General features: G+C 51.7%; 3 annotated features.

Moving 5' to 3' along the window:
* Positions 2,041-2,969: an enhancer, noted in NCBI's record as "H3K27ac-H3K4me1 hESC enhancer chr7:101241532-101242460 (GRCh37/hg19 assembly coordinates)". NCBI's record gives its function as "activates a minimal SCP1, AML or CMV promoter by ChIP-STARR-seq in naive and primed H9 embryonic stem cells {active_cell/tissue: H9 hESC(naive and primed)}" and the evidence as "EXISTENCE:reporter gene assay evidence [ECO:0000049][PMID:30033119]".
* Positions 2,970-3,897: an enhancer, noted in NCBI's record as "H3K27ac-H3K4me1 hESC enhancer chr7:101242461-101243388 (GRCh37/hg19 assembly coordinates)". NCBI's record gives its function as "activates a minimal SCP1, AML or CMV promoter by ChIP-STARR-seq in naive H9 embryonic stem cells {active_cell/tissue: H9 hESC(naive)}" and the evidence as "EXISTENCE:reporter gene assay evidence [ECO:0000049][PMID:30033119]".
* Positions 6,459-6,518: a silencer, noted in NCBI's record as "silent region_18486". NCBI's record gives its function as "represses an Ori minimal core promoter by ATAC-STARR-seq in GM12878 lymphoblastoid cells {active_cell/tissue: GM12878}" and the evidence as "EXISTENCE:reporter gene assay evidence [ECO:0000049][PMID:35858748]".

Genomic DNA, 16,373 nt, shown 5'->3' on the forward strand with positions numbered 1-16,373 from the left:
ACTCTGGTTGACAGCCCCGCTAAAGTCCCAGGCAACATCCAACATGAGCTGCCAGTCATATGGATGGGCCATCTTGGATATTCCAGCTCGCTATAGCTCCCAGATGGCTGCATCCCCAACCAACATCACATAAAGCAGAAGAACCTCCCAGCCAAGCACAGTCAACTCATAGGATAATGAGATTTAAGATGGTTATTGCTTTAAACCACTAAGTGTTGGGACAATTTGTTATGCAGAAAACCAAAGTGTTGGGGCAATTTGTTATGCAGAAAACCAAAACATATAGTATACCCATTTATGAAACTTTAAAGTATTTATTTACTACTTTTTGAAAAAGATTAGTCATTCTGTACTACAGAAAACTATAACAATAATTTGCTGCCTGTATTTGTATAGCCTGCAAGGTAAGCAAGGCTTTTACACTATAACATGGCTGGAAAAAATCAAAAGAAGAATATTATTTTGTGAGCTATGTGAGAAATTTATACAAAATTCGAATTTTAGTATCCACAAATAAAGTTTGATTGGAATACAGGCATGCTCATTCATTTATAGCTTGTCCACAGCTGCTTTGTCATGAGAGCAGTAGAGTTCCATGGTGGTATCAGAGGCCATATGGACCACAGCACCTAAAATATTTACTGTCTGGCCCTTTCCAGGAAAAGTTCACCAACTCCCTTCTCTAGACCATTAAATATGTATCATCATTTTGAACTTAAAATCCTGCATATAAGAACTTGTATGTGTCTGAAACTTATTGACTGAGTCCTGTAAGGAAAAAGCAAAAAAGCAACAGTGGGCATTTTTGCTTATTTATTTTTAATGTTTATAGAGACACGATCTCAGTCTATCACCTGGCTGGAGTGCAATTGTGCAATCATAACTCACTGCAGCCTCCATGTCCCAAGCTCAAGTGATTCTACCACCTCAGCCTCCTGAGTAGCTGGGACTACAGGTGCATGCCACCATGCCCAGCTACATTTTTTATGTTTTATTTTGTAGACACAGGGTCTTGCTATGTTGTCCAGGCTGGTCTCAAACTCCTGGGCTCAAGCAATCCTCCCACCTTGGCCCCCCAGAGTTCTGGGATTACAGGTGTGAGCCACGGTGCCAGGTCTATTTATTTGTTTGTAAGTTTGAAAGCTTTCAGAAGTATAAGAATGGCCCAAGCTGGGTGTGGTGGCTCACACCTGTAATCCTAGCACTTTGGGAGGCGGAGCTGGGTGAATCACTTGAGGTTGGGAGTTCGAGACCAGCCTTACCAACATGGAGAAACCCCGTCTCTACTAAAAATACAAAATTAGCTGGGTGCGGTGGCACTTATGTGTAATCCCAGCTACTCGGGAGGCTGAGGCAGGAGAATCGCTTGAACCTGGAAGGCAGAGGTTGCAGTGAACCAAGATCATGCCATTGCATTCCAGCCTGGGCAACAAGAGCAGAACTCCGTCTCAAAAAAAAAAAAAAAAAAAAGAATAGCCCAACAGTGTGCAAACATAGGAGGAATGCCTAGAAAGCATTCAAAGAGAGATCAAAAGGAAACTCTGATTATGGGGGTGAACAGGGGACTTTGAAGAAAGAAACCAGAAATGGAAGGGGTCCTAGTGGGAAAAGGACATTCCCTAAGGCCAGGACAGTATCCATGCCCCCAGCCCCTTCTATCCTCCCCACCCCCACTGTCCTGCCCTGGCCAGAGCTCCAGGCCACACTGTTCCCACTGTAGGGCCTACACTAGCTGTCTCCATCTTTGTCCCCTGCCCATCTTCCTCCACTAGGGCTCAGCTTGACAACCCTTCCTCATGCAGCCTACCACCTCTAAGCCTGCATTCCCTCCCTTCTCTATGCTCTGAAGTTCTGTATACAGGACTTGCCTCTAAGATCCCACTGGCCAGGTCGTAACGTTGAGACCCAACCACTCATTCTGCTCCCTGGGCTGGGTGCACCTCGTGGGTAGTCATTGGCCTTATTTATCTCTGGGCCCCCCGGGAAGGCATGAGAGCCAAGCTGCTGAATACAGGGGCCCTGCAGCTTGTACTGAGCATTTGAGTACCAGACACTTCTAGGATTTCACGATGGAAGACCCTATGATACGGCATCTCCTTCCCATGCCCCACTATCAGGGACAAGGGGTGCAGAGACAACGGGGCCTCCCAGCTGGAGGGACTGTTCAGGGCCAGCTCTGAGCTGCCTCCCACCCTCGCCTAGCCTCTGGCAGGGCCTCTGGCCAGGCAGGAACGGCCAACAGAGTCACCTCCTGCTGACAAGCCTGGCGCTGACAGCCAGGATCTGGGAGAACAAGAAGTCCATTCAAGGCGCAGGGCCGGGCGGGCCCACTTTCAGGTGTATGATCTCACCTCTCGGAAACTGGCAAGCCGCCGGAGGGCCTCGTCAAGGCTTTGATGACCCTGTGCTGAGGACGCAAATCCTAGGCCTGGCCGACACCCTGCTCCAAGGACCAATGACTGAGGCCAGAGAGGGTCCCAGATGGAGCCTGGGTAGGGGTGAAACTGCACAGGCGGACGGGCAGAGCGTCCACCCTGGAGAAGAGACCCAGGCCCAACCAGGCCCCAGAGCCTGCACGAGCACCTGGAGTGGCAGGGACAGCCCAGCCCCCTCCTGCCCCACTTCCTGGGAAGCAGCAGCTTGTGTGTTCTGGTCGGTCGGCTTTGGCAAAGCTGACTGGTGACGTCAGGCAGGCACCCCCTCTCATCCAGATCCTGGGCCCCCCACACACTGGGCCCAGCTGGGGGATGGAGCTAAAGGAACTTTGCTCCCAGCTCATCTTGTTTCTGGGCTTTGTTGCCCAGTGGCCACTGGCACCCTGGTGGAAGGGACCAGCCAGGGGGAGTAGTAGGCCCCATCTCAGCTGGAATCTCCCAGGGTAACTGGGCCTGCAGCTTGCTGGAGTCCGTACTTTTCTGTGAGCTCACAGGGCAGATCCCAGAAGCCAAAACTGACCCAGAGGGAATGGAACTCAGATGGTCAAGAAACCACTGCCCTCTGCCCTCTTGGCATGTGACCTTAGTTCCACCCATAGAGACCAGATGGCAGTCTCTGGCTTTTCCAAGGACCCGCGGGGCAGGAATGCAAGACAGAGCACACACTGGCCTCTCACTGTGACCAGCAGTGGCCTCTGTCGTCACCTCTGTGGACGGCAACACGGGCCTTCCATCCATTCCCCAAAAGGAAGGCAAAGCCACAGCACCCATGCAGGGGCCGAAGCCTCACGGGAGGTTCCCCATGCCTTCGAAATGACTACTCTGCTCTGGCCGGAGGACCCGGGTCCTGCCACCTGACCTGAGAGCCTCTCTCAGCTCAGGTCCTGCCTCCTGATCACTCGCTGAGCTTGGCCTCCCAACAACTGTGATGACAACAGGCTGTCTACTGCCTCTCGGAGCTCCTCCTGCCCTGGCGGGCCTGGCTCATTGGTGCCCTGGATGGCTCCCCATCTCCCAGCAACCGGGACTTCTCCCTCCTCCAGGCCCCCGGGACTCTGCCTAGCCCATGCCCTGGGATGTTTATGGATGTGTCCACTGCCCAGCTTCTCAAGAACAGAGGCTGGGTGTGAGCCCACACCGATTCCTAGTGCTTAGCATAAGCCTGGTCCAAGGAGGCACCCACTGGTGGTTTGCAAAGTGAAGTCTCTGGTAATTGAAAGGGCAGTGTGACCACATCCTTGGAGTGGAAAGATGACAGGCTTCGAGAGCAGACAGCCGTGGGCAGTTGTGGCCCTTGGACAAGTATCTTAGCTTATCTGAGCCTCAGTTTCCTCATCTGCAGAATGGGAATATTAGCACCTATTCCCCTACAAAATAGCACAGCAACACAAGGCTAAAGAGAGGTGTTTGTTGTTTTTGTTTTTGTTTTGAGATGAAGCCTCACTCTGTTGCCCAGGCTGGAGTGCAGTGGTGCAATCTCAGCTCACTGCAACCTCTGCCTCCCAGGTTCAAGTGATTCTCCTGCCTCAGCCTCACGAGTAGCTAGGACTACAGGTGTCTGCCACCGTGCCTTGCTAATTTTTGTATTTTTAGTAGAGATGGGGTTTCACTGTGTTGGCCAGGCTGGTCTTGAACTCCTGACCTCAAGTGATCCGCCCACCTCAGCTTCCCAAAGTGCTGGGATTACAGCGTGAGCCACCATGCCCGGCCCTAAGGCTGGAGAGAGATTTTAGAGAGACCAACCGCGTGAAGCCCCGTCTACCAGATCCAGCACAGGCGCTCAAAAAAATCAGTCCCTGCTCCAGCTCTGGGCTTCTCTGTCACTGGCCTTCTGTGCCCAGTCCCCCGGAAACTGATCTGAGCTGGGGTGTGAGCCTTCACAGCAGCGTGTAGGGAAAGTGCTGGGCCAGGGTCCTCCGCCCTGACTTTTGGGCTCATCCTGCCACTTCCTGCCTATGTGTGCAAACGAGAGCTGCCTTTTCTCTCTGAATCCCAGCTTTCTCAACTGTAAAATGGGTACTCCAGCCTGCCTGGCCCACCTCACAGTGGAGGTCCAGGTGCTGTGTAGACTGTTGAGGGCCATGTGTCAGGTGGCCCAGGCCACCCAGGGACTGGGCAACCTCACTGGCAGGTGGGCATAGGGACGGCTCTTGTCCAGGAGGGCCTGCCTGGATGGTGAGCCAGTGAGAGTCCTCAGTCCCCAGCCAGGACTGCTCTGGGCCCAGCCTGGCCGGAGATCCCATCCCAAAGGCAATGACCATGCTTCAGCCTCTCGAGTAGCTGGGATTACAGGCACACAATCATACCCAGCTAATTTTTTTAGTAGAGACGGGGTTTCACCATGTTGGCCAGGCTGGTCTTGGACTACAGACCTCAAGTGATCCGCGTGCCTCCGCCTCCCAAAGTGCTGGGATTACAGGCGTGAGCCGCTGCATCTGGCCAGGCCTCCAGCTTTTATGGGAGACTCACGTCTGCCCGCTTGATGGAAGTTCTGGGCAGGGCAGGAGGGAGAAGAACCAGTATTTACCAGAATGGATGAGGGCATTCCAGGAGGGGCCTTTCGCTGAATGGAGGCAGTGTGGAAAAGGGGCAGGTGGGACCCAGACGGTGCAGGAGCCTGAGGCTGTCCCTCCAGGCTGTCCCAGGGATCCAGAGCCTCATCGAGGCCCCATCCTTGGCTCTTCTACCGCCCCTATCCATGGAAGCCAGGAATCTTGTTGCCCCACTTTGGGAGTCAAACTTCACAGCTTTGTCTGTCTCCAAGCCTCCCACTGGAGGTGCTTGGAGGCCTCAAACCTGCAGCCTTGAATCACCCAATGCCCTGATGGGCTGGGCTGCAGAGAGGGAGGGAAAGGTTATGGGAGTGCTGGCAGTGGAAATGGCTGGAGGTATAATGTCATTCCATTTGCAGACCAGGAAACAAAGGATGGCAGAGGGGACCACACAGCCAGGCAGTGACAGGTGGGGACAGAAAGGGACACCCCCCTGCCACCCATTGTCCTGGGGGTGCTGCCCAGGTTCCTGAGTGAGTGGTTGGGTCAGGTCACCTAAAGAACACTTGGAAGCCCGCGAGGAGAGGAAACCCACTTTGAACAAATGTGGAGAAAGGCGTGGATCAGAGTCTAACAGCTGAGGTCCCCGATGACTGTGTCCCGCTCCATTTAGGGCCCGGGACACACAACCCTCCTTGGTCCCCTCCCGTGGACATGGGACCAGGACCAAGGTCTCTTCCCCCTGAATATCCCGCCCTCCCCAGCCTCCTGCCAACTGCCTGCCTTCCAGTGCCCCCGAGGACACAGGACTGAGGCTGGATAGAGGATTGCTTCGTGGACCTTTGCTGGGGACATGTGGACAGGCAGGGGCCACCAACTCAGAGCGAAGACGTCACAGATGTGTGAAAACACTGAAGATGGGGACACAGAGGCACCGAGCGTTAGGTGGCTGGAGTCACTGGATCACAGCGTCTGGAGCCAAGGGTTTCCACTGTTCCCAGGTGTAATTCCTCCCCGCAGCCGTGCAAGGCGGGTGCCCCAGCTGTACTCACTTGGCTGCTCTGTAGGTCGCACAGTCAGTAAGCGGCAGAGCTGGGACAGGCCAGGCAGGTAGGCGTCTTGACTCGGTGCCTTACCCTCTCTGGCCTCAGTCTTCTCATCTGTCAAATGGTATAATAATAGGATGTACTCCTCAGGGTTGCTGGGAGGGTTACACACGTTAGTGCACACTGCCTGGGGCTCGGTGACTGTTCTCTAAGTGTTTGCTGCTATTTTTTTTTACTTAAGGAAACTTAACATCGAATAGGTTAAGCAGCCGGGGCTTGAATTTAGTCTTCTCTGCACCAAAGTTGCGCTGTGGACTCTTGTGCCGACTGTGATCTAGAGATTCCCAAGCCCCAGAGGCTTTGGGGAAGGCGGAGCCAGGAGAGGCTGCTCAGCTGTCAGTAGATGGCGCTGTGGAGCCACAAGGGCCGCCCTCGCTGCAAAAGCCCGTTGACGCACCAGGCTGTGCACAGACTGGGGTCTCCCCGCCCTGGGCCAGGCCCTGCACCAGATATGGCCCCAGGAGAGGGGGTGCCGCTAACCCTGTTTCCCTGATGAGGGATATGAAGGCTCAGAGAGGTTGAACCACTAGCCTTGAGGTCACACAGCTATAAGGGGCAGGGCTGGGGCTCCCCACCCCAGATGCCTCACTGAGCTCTCCAGCCCCACCCCCATCCCACCCCTCACCCTGGCCCTCAAGAGGCCACAGTGACTCCCTGGCGCTTGATGGGAGCCAGGCGCGTCCCTCCTTCCCCCATGGCTGGACATTCCAATGAAGCTGAAGCCACCAGCTTTGAAGTGAGAGCTAAACCCGGATTAGGGCGGCTCCAGGCTGGCCTCTCCTTCCCAGCCCCATTGCCAGGCCCACGCTCACCAACCACGTCAGGCCAGAGTCCTGGCGGCACAAAGGGGTCTGGGGCCTAGAGGAGGCAGGACCTGCCCCGCACAACACAGTCCCTCTCATAGTCTGTTAAGAAGCCTCGGGGGCCCCCACGACCTGCTACTAGCCTGAAACCCCACGTCACGCGGGTGCCAGCACAGAAGCTCCCACGGGGCTGGGAGGCTGTGTGTCCGTCTGTCTGTGAGCAGCCACACTTCCCTGGCCTCACCCTGCCTGTTTGGGTTCCAGGATCAAGCCTCTTTATTCAAGGAGATTTGGACTCAAGACTGGAAGATGACACTGGTATAGTGAAGCTACACCAGTTCTGGAACCCGTGTTCCAGAAGGTTCTGGAACATCCACCTTCAAATTAATCTCTCACAGCCTCTTCTTCAGAATTCAGCTCTTCCCAGACTTCACTTTTTTTTTTAATTTTATTTTATTTTACAGAGTCTCGCTCTGTCGCCTAGGCTGGAGTGCAGTGGTACAATCTTGGCTCACTGCAACCTCCACCACCAGGGTTCAAGTGATTCTCCTGCCTCAGCCTCCCAGGTAGCTGTGATTACAGGCATGAGCCACCATGCCCAGCCTTATTTTATTATTATCTTTTTGAGACGGAGTCTCACTCTACCGCCCAGGCTGGAGTACACTGGTGCAATCTCTGCTCACCGCAACCTCTGCCCCCCGCTGGGTTCAAGTGATTCTCCCACCTCAGTCTTCCCAGTAGCTGGGATTACAGGCATGTGCCACCATGCCCGGCTAATTTTTATATTTTTAGTAGAGACGGGGTTTCACCATGTTGGCCAGGCTGGTCTTGAACTCCTGACCTCAGGTAATTCACTCACCTCGGCCTCCCAGAGTGCTGAGATTCCAGGCGTGAGCCACCGCGCCTGGCCTTTTCCCAGACTTCAGTGATTCTCATTTCACCTTCATGACTTTTTTTTTTGTAGCTAAATATTGTTTACATTTATCTTTTTCCTTAAATCGACTCCTATACATATGTTTATTTTAAAGAAAGCTTTTATAAAAAAGAAACCTTGCTATCAAAAATGAAAAGCTAGTCCCCTGTGCCACATACAGACAACATGCATAAAAATGCATGCCATGGCTGGGAGCAGTGGGTCATGCCTATAATCCCAGCACTTTCGGAAGCTGAGGTGGGTGGATCACGAGGTCAGGAGTTCGAGACCAGCCTGGCCAACATAGTGAAACCCTGTCTCTACTAAAAATACAAAAATCAGCCAGGCGTGGTGGCAGGTGCCTGTAATCCTAGCTACTCAGGAGGCTGAGGCAGAAGAATTGCTTGAACCCAGGAGGCAGAGGTTGCAGTGAGCCGAGATCATGCCACTGCACTCCAGCCTGGGTGACAATGCAAGACTCCGTCTCAAAAAAAAAAAAAAAAAATGCATACCATGAAAACGGAACAATGCCGTTCAATTCTGGCTGGCTGCCGGGGCCTAGGGAAGGCTCTCAGCCTGGTGTCTGCTCCCTTGCTAAAGAGGGCAGTAGGCTGGTCAGAGACCTGTCTGCACCAAATCCAGCATCTCTCCTTGATGCAACCAGGAGAGAACATTGTGGAAGGAGACTCCCTTTCAGCATCTTTCATTTGGAGACTGGTCATCATCTCCTCTTTGTCTGCATTTCTGCCACCCATTCTTCAAGTTATCACCTCCTCCAGGAAGCCCTCCAGGCTGAAAAGGGCATCCCCACTGTGCTTCTTCAGCTCCACAGGCATTTCCTGACTTGGCATTTGTCATCCTGGTTTAATAAATCACATTTCTGGTTATGTCACTCCCAATGGAGTGAAAGTGTCCCTTTTTTATTCCTTAGAGACAGGGTCTTGCCCTGTCACCCAGGCTAGAGTGCAGTGGGACAATCATAGCTCACTGCAGCCTCCAATTCCTGGGCTCAGTCAATACTCTTGCCTCAGTCTCCCAAGTAGCTGGGACCCCAGGCACACAGTACTACACCCAGCTTTTTTTTTTTTTTTTTCAGAGATGGGGTCTCACTATGTTGCCCAGGCTGGTCTCAAACCCCTGGCCTCAAGCAGTCCTCCTGCCTCAGCCTCCCAAAGTGCTGGGATTACACACGTGAGCCACCACACCCAGCAAGGGCCAAACCTTTACCATGGCCCACACAGTTGTGGGCCACTCTCTTCCATCCACCACAGCCTGTCCTCTGGCTGTCTACCTCTCTGTCACCTTGAGTCCTTCTTGCATCATGATGTCCTCACTGGTCATGGCGTTGGCCTTCTCCTGGATATAAGCTCAGTGTGGTCTGGTGAGGTGTTTCTGTCCACCCTCGGATCCCCAGGCCTAGCCTGCTTGAAGGAGGAGAGCAGCCTGGAAACTTGGCATCGTCACTGTCTCCATTTTCCAAATGGAGAAGCTGAGTCCCAGTGAGGTTGGTGACTTTCCCAGGGACACCCATCTAGCCGTGGCAGACCTGGATGCAAACCCAGGCCTCCGGGGCCAGCAGGGATCCACCCTCCCCTAAACTCCCTCCCTCTCAGGGCTCTACTTCACCTTGATCAAGCGAGACCTTGTGTTTGAGAGAGACAGGAAGAGAAAAACAGACACGGACAGACCCCTGGGATCCCCGGAGGCCCAAGCCAACCCCCAGTCAGACTGAAATCCTTAGCCCAGCCCGGGCCTCAGCTCACAGCAGGCATAGAGTACAATTTTCCATCCAGACTCTAGCTATGGGGGCACCCCCTCGGAACCTCACCGCATGCCTTCACCAGCCCCTGAGGCCTGAAATTCCATGAGGACATTTCATTGCCCTGAAGTGTGGTGTCCCAGGCTAAAGACACCATCAGCCCCTAGTCCCCACTTCCACCCCAGCCATGTCCTGGCTGTGAAAAAGGTGCAGCCGCTCCCAGGGTTGCCAGAAAAACAGAGTGATGGTGGAAGCCGGTGCCAGGCAGGGTCCCTCCACCAGCCACGCTGTCCCGGGAGGGGCCCCACCCTTCTGCGATCAGCAGAGGATCCCTGGGAGAGTCGCCGCCCCTCCAGCTCCAAGCCCCTGGGGTCCGTCCTGGAAAGACCTTCAAAGGACTTGGCCATTCTTGAGTGAGCGCCAGGACGGAATCTGCTCCCAGAGTCAATTTAAGCAGCCACACGGGTGGAAGGAATTTGCTGTTTCTCTTAACAGCGACCCCCTCATGATTTATGCGGGGGCCACTGTCCGAAGGCCCCCGGCTGATGGCTCCTGAGCGGAAAAATGAAATGCCAAGACCCAGGCATCTTGCTGGGCTAATTACTCTCAATGAGACCCAGCTGGCTGTGGGAGCCGGCGGCGCCGGGGCAGGCCCGGATCCCTGTACCCAGCTCCCTGGGGCTACAAAGGCCTGTCCCAACCCTGCCTGTGTTCCCTGTCTGTCACCTACCAGGCCAAGTGTGGGGCTACCAAGGATTCTAGGAGAGCCACTTTGGCCAGATAACAAGATGCATCACCTTGGATGCTGCCAAGCAAGCCCAGGACTGGCCATGGCCTTGGGTTTGCTGCTGCCCTGGGGGGTACATATCCTTGAGACACCAGGGGCCCTGGGGTTCCATTCTGCTTATGGGAAGACTAAGGCCCAGGCAGACAGGGAAAGTACCCTGAAGCCTCCAGGAGGCTCAGGAATAATTGCAATTCCAGCCTCAGCTTCTGCCCTGCAGTGTCTTGGAGGCCCAAAGCCACAGAGCTGCTTCCAGATAACTCCCGTGATTCGGGGCTGGCTCTCTGGGTGTCCTGGAGACAGTCAAATATTTCCCAAGAGCCTCCTGCATGCCAGGCCCCATGTAGGGTGCTGGGGGCATAGCTGTGGGCAAATCCAGCCTACTCCCTTCCCTCAGGGACTTATGGCACTCTGGGGGAAGACAGACACCACTTACCAAAAAGTGAAAGTTCTTGGTGCCATGAAACTACATGGAAAGTGATTTGGCCTATGCCGCTGTCAGGGCCTTAGGATACGCTGCTGACCTGAGACCAGAAAGCTGAGTAGGGAGCATGATGGTTACTACTGGGTGTCAACTTGATTGGGTTGAAGGATGCAAAGTATTGATCCTTGGTGTGTCTGTGAGGGTGTTGCCAAAGGAGATTAACATTTGAGTCAGTGGACTGGGAAAGGCAGACCCACCCTCAATCTGGGTGGGCACTATCTAATCAGCTGCCAGTGAGGCCAGAATATAAAGCAGGCAGAAGAATGTGAAAAGACTAGCGTGGCCTAGCCTCCCAGCCTACACCCTTCTCCTGTGCTGGATGCTTCCTGCCCTCGAACATTGGACTCCAAGTTCTTCAGCTTTGGAACTTGGACTGGTTTCCTTGCTCCTCAGCTTGCAGACGGCCTATTGTGAGACCTTGTGATCCTGTGAGTTAATACTTAATAAACTCCCCTTTATGTATATCTATATCTCTCTCTATATATATATCCTATTTTATATAATGTTATATAATATATATTATATAATTCTTTATATATAAATCTATATATATCTCTCTCTCTTATTAGTTCTTTCCCTTGTGATCCTGTGAGTTACTACTTAATAAACTCCCCTTTATATATATATCCTATTTTACATATATCCTATCCTATTATATATATTATATATAATACAATAATTCTTTATATATAATAATTCTCTCTCTATATATATATATCCCATTAATTCTTTCCCTTGTGATCCTGTGAGTTAATACTTAATAAACTCCCATATATATATATATATACACACATCCTATTTTATATATATATATCCTATCCTATTATATATCTATCCTATTAGTTCTTTACCTCTAAGAACCCTGACTAATGCAGGGGGGATTGGGCAAAGGGGGCAGGGAGTGTTCCAGGTAGAGGGAGCAGCATGAGCAAGACTCTGCAACAGGAGGAAACGTAGGGTCCCCAATGAAACTGTGCAGCTGGAACCCAGAGCCCAGGGCACGGTGGTGCAGGGAAGTTCAAGAGGCCGGCAAGGGGTTCTTTTGTTTGTTTTGTTTTGTTTTATTATTTCTTTTAGAGATAGGGTCTTGCTTTGTTTCTGAGGCTGGTCTAGAATTCCTGGGCTCAAGCAATCCTCCCACCTTGGCCTCCCAAAGTGCTGGGATTACAGGTGTGAGCCACCGCACCCCGCCACGTTCTTGTACCTTTAGAAAGGTGCTTTCAGAAAGAACACTGGAAAGACGATGTGTCCACCCACATGCTCATTCTTGCTGATTTCTCTCTGGCTTTTGGGAGCCTCAGCCCTCTACCCCTGGAAGGGCAGCTCTGTGGATTACCCCAGCTACAGGGACGGGAGGAAGAACTGTAGAGCCTGGGGTCATCCAGGTATTCCTCAAGGACTGGACAGAAAGGCGTGGATATTGAAGGCAGCTAGTCATGTGCCCAGGTCAGGGGCAGTGGAGACCACCAATGAACCACAGCTTGGGAGAGAGGGGCCTCCAGGAGGCCATGCTGTGTAACTCCCAAGAGTGGCAGAGACCAGGGAGTTGGAGCCGCCAGCAGCCTCACAGCCATCTTGTGCCTTCTGAGAGGCCCCCTGCTTTTCTTTTCCCTGGGGCCCCACTTGTGCCGCATCACTCCCATGCCTGTAGCCTACCCCCATCCTGGTATCTCCCAGCCAGAGACCATTGAGGGCAGAGGTGAGGTGTTACTGGTGTTATTGATCACCCTCTCTGAGCACTGGTACAGAGGAGGTATAGACAAGTGGAGGCACTGAGGACAGAGGAATAAATGAGATGAATGCCCCGGCCTCCTCTCTGAGCTGACGTGGAGTCCCTCTGGCCTTCCCTACCGGCTGGCCCTGTGTCTTGGAGGAGCTGGGCTCCTGCAGGTGGGCAGGCCTAGCTGCAGGGAGCAGCTGGCAAGCAGATGCCTGTGGCCTGCAGTACCTTGGCGCTGGCTTGGTTCTGCGGGGCACAAACAGGTCTGACAAGTTCCTCAGCAGCAGAGACAGGGCTCGGTCCGTGATTTCTAGGAAAGTCAAAGTCTTGGAGAGCAAGCGGAGCCAGGCTTGGGGTGGAGGGAGGAGCTCCTCTGCTATGTACCTGTCCCCTGTGTCCTGAGCCCAGAGCTCCAGACTGATGGTGGTGCTTCTCTCTCCCGCCTCCCACAGAGGGAACAGGAGCTCAGCAGTGGGGAAAGAGGAGGGGAGACCTTTCACTGTGGCCAAGGGGTAGGGGAGTGTGGCCCCTGTGGTGAAGCAGCTACCGTCAAAGCCAGGGCTGGCCCTCTGCAGGGTCCAACATGCCACTCTCCTTGGCCTCCTTCCTCCTGGCCTCTCAGGGTCTGAATTCTACCCCTCAACCCACAGCCTCCAATCCTTGGCTCCAGGGACCTGCTCCCCCAACCTCAGCCACCCGATTCCAGGGTCACACCTTAGACCTGCTCTTCTCTTCCTTAAACACTCGGTTCTTGTTTCTTACTTTTCTTTCCTTTCCCTCCCTCCTTCCCTCCCTCCCTTCCCTCCCTCCCTCTCTCTCTCTTTCTTTCTTTCTTTCTCTCTCTTTTTCTCTCTCTCTTGCTTTTTTTCTTTTTCTTTCTTTCTCTGTCTTCCTTCCTCCCTCCCTTCCTCCCTCCCTTCCTTCCCTCCTTTCTTTTCTTTTCTTCTCTTTCTCTTTCTTTCTCTCTTCCTCCCTTCCTCCCTCCCTCCCTTCCTCCCTCCCTCCCTTCCTCCCTCCCTCCCTTCCTCCCTCCCTGCCTTCCTCCCTCCCTCCCTTCCTCCCTCCCTGCCTTCCTCCCTCCCTCCCTTCCTCCCTCCCTGCCTCCCTTCCTCCATTCCTCCCTCCCTCCATTCCTCCCTTCTCCCTTCTTTTCTTCTTTCCTCCTTTCCTTTCCTTTCTTTTCTTTATTTTTTTTTCTTTTCTTTTTGTTGATACAGGGCCTCAGGATCTCTCTCTATCACCCAGGCTGGAGTGCAGTGGTGCAATCACAGCTCACTGCAGCCTTGAACTCCTGGGCTCAAGTGATTCTCCTGCCTCAGCCTCCCAAGTAGCTGGGACTACAGGTGTGTGCCACCATGCCTGGCTAGTTTTTTTGTATTTTTAGTAGAGATGATGTTTGGCCATGTTGGCCGGGCTGGTCTCAGATTTCTGACCTCATGTGATCTGTCTGCCTCGGCCTCCCAGGGGCCGGGGTTACAGGCATGCGCCACTGCATCTGCCCAACAGTTCCTTAGATATAACACCCAAAGCACGAGCAGAAATAGCTAAAATAGACTTCATCAAAATGTAAAACTGTTGTACATCAAAGGGCACTATCAAGAGAGTACAAAGACATCCTACAGAATGGGAGAAAATATTTGCAAATCACATATCTAAAAGGGTCCAGGCTGGGCGTGGTGGGCTCTTGCCTGTAATCCCAGCACTTTGGGAAGCCAAGGTGGGAAGACTGGTTGAGCCCAGGAGCTCAAGACCAGCCTGGGCAGCTCTCCAAATAAATAAATAAATAATAAAATAAAATAATATAGAAATTAACCAGGTGGGGTGGCTCATGTTTATAGTCCCAGCTACTTGGGAGGCTGAGGTGGGAGGATTGCTTAAGCCTGGGAGATTGAGGCTGCAGTGAGCTGTGATGGTGCCACTGCACTCCAGCCTGGGTGACAGGGTGAGACCCTGTCTCAAAAATAAATAAATAGACAAATAAATTAAAATAAAAAGATCTAGTATCTAGAATATATAAAGAACTTCTAAACTCAGCAACAAAAAAGTGTAACACAATTTTAAAATGGGCAATGAACCTGAACAGATTTCTCCCAAGAGATACAAATGGCCAATAAAAACATGGTAAGATGCTCAATGTCATTATCCATTAGAGAAATGCAAATCAAAACCCAAATGAAATACCACTTCATACCCATTAAGATGGTTATAATTTTGGAAGAAAAGAAAAACAGAAAATAACAAGTGTTGGCAAGAATGTGGAAAAATTGAAACCCTTGTACATCACTGGTGGGAATACAAAACGGTGTAACCTTTTTGAAAAGCAATTTGGCAATTCCTCAGAAAGTTAAATATAGAGTTACCATATGAACCAGTAATTTCACTCCTAGGTATATGCCTAAGAGAATTGAAAACATGTATTTACACAAAAACTTGTACACAAATGTTCATAGTAGCGTTATCCATAATAGCTAACAGAAATATCTCAAATGTGCATCAACTGATGAATAAACAAAATGTGATCTATCCATAAAATGGAATCTTATCTGGCTACAGAAAGGAATGAAGCCAGGTGTGGTGGCTCATGCCTGTAATCCCAACAATTTGGGAGGCTGAGGCAGATGGATCACCTGAGGTCAGGAGTTCGAGACCAACTTGACCAACGTGGTGAAACCCTCTCTCTACTAAAAATACAAAATTAACCAGGCGTGGTGGCGTACGCCTGTAATCTCAGCTACTCGGGAGGCTGGGGTTGGAGAATCACTTGAACCCAGGAGGCAGAGGTTGCAGTGAGCCAAGATCATGCCACTGCACTCCAGCCTAGGCAACAAGAGTGAAACCCTGTCTCAAAAATAAATAAATAAATAAACAAATAAAGTCTACAACAAGGATGAACCATGAAAATGTTATGCTAAGTGAAAGATGCCAGACACAAAAGGCCATGTATTGCAGGATCCTATTTATATGAATGTCCGGAACAGGCAAATCCATAGAGACGGGCAGTAGTAGCTTCATGGTTGCCAGGGGCTGAGTGCAGGAAGAATAAGGAGTGACCACTAATGAATTTCATTTTGTGGTGATTAATATTCTGTTTGTAAATAGTGGTAAAAGGCAGGGCGCGGTGGCTCACACCTGTAATCCCAGCACTTTGGGAGGCCGAGGCGGTTGGATCACCTGAGGTCAGGAGTTCGAAACCAGCCTGGCCAACATGGCAGAACCCCGTCTCTATTAAAAATACAAATGTTGGCCGGGCATGGTGGCACGTGTCTGTAATCCCAGCTACTTGGGAGGCTGAGGCAGGAGAATCACTTGAACCCGGAAGGCGGAGGTTGCAGTGAACCGAGATCACGCCACTACACTCCAGCCTGGGTGACAGAGTGAGACTGTCTAAAAAAAAACAAAAAAGAAGGGGGGGGTTTTATGGTATGTGAATTGTATCTCAATAAAAAAGTTTTTTTTTAAGTATGCACTCTTTCGCCTCTTTTTCCATACAACATAGTATATATGAGCAATCAACCAAACTGTTGTGTACATCAGTAGTTTGTTCTTATTGCCATGTGGTATTCCCATGTATGAGTGCCCTATCATTTATTTTTATTTATTTATTTATTTATTTATTTTTTCAGACAGGGTCTCGCTGTCGTCCAGGCTGGAGTGCAGTGGTGTGATCACAGCTCACTGCAGCCGCCAACTCCTGGGCTCAAGTGATCCTCCCACCTCAGCCTCCTGAATAGCTGGGACTATAGGCATGCGCCACCATGCCAGGCTAATTTTTAAATTTTTTTTTATTTGTAGAGATGGGGTCTTGCTATGTTGCTGGGACTGGTCTCAAACTCCTGGCGTCAAGCAATCCTCCTGCCTCGGCCTCCCAAAGCTCTGG

This window comes from Homo sapiens, chromosome 7 (genome assembly GCF_000001405.40).
Source record: "Homo sapiens chromosome 7, GRCh38.p14 Primary Assembly".
NCBI lineage: Eukaryota > Metazoa > Chordata > Mammalia > Primates > Hominidae > Homo > Homo sapiens.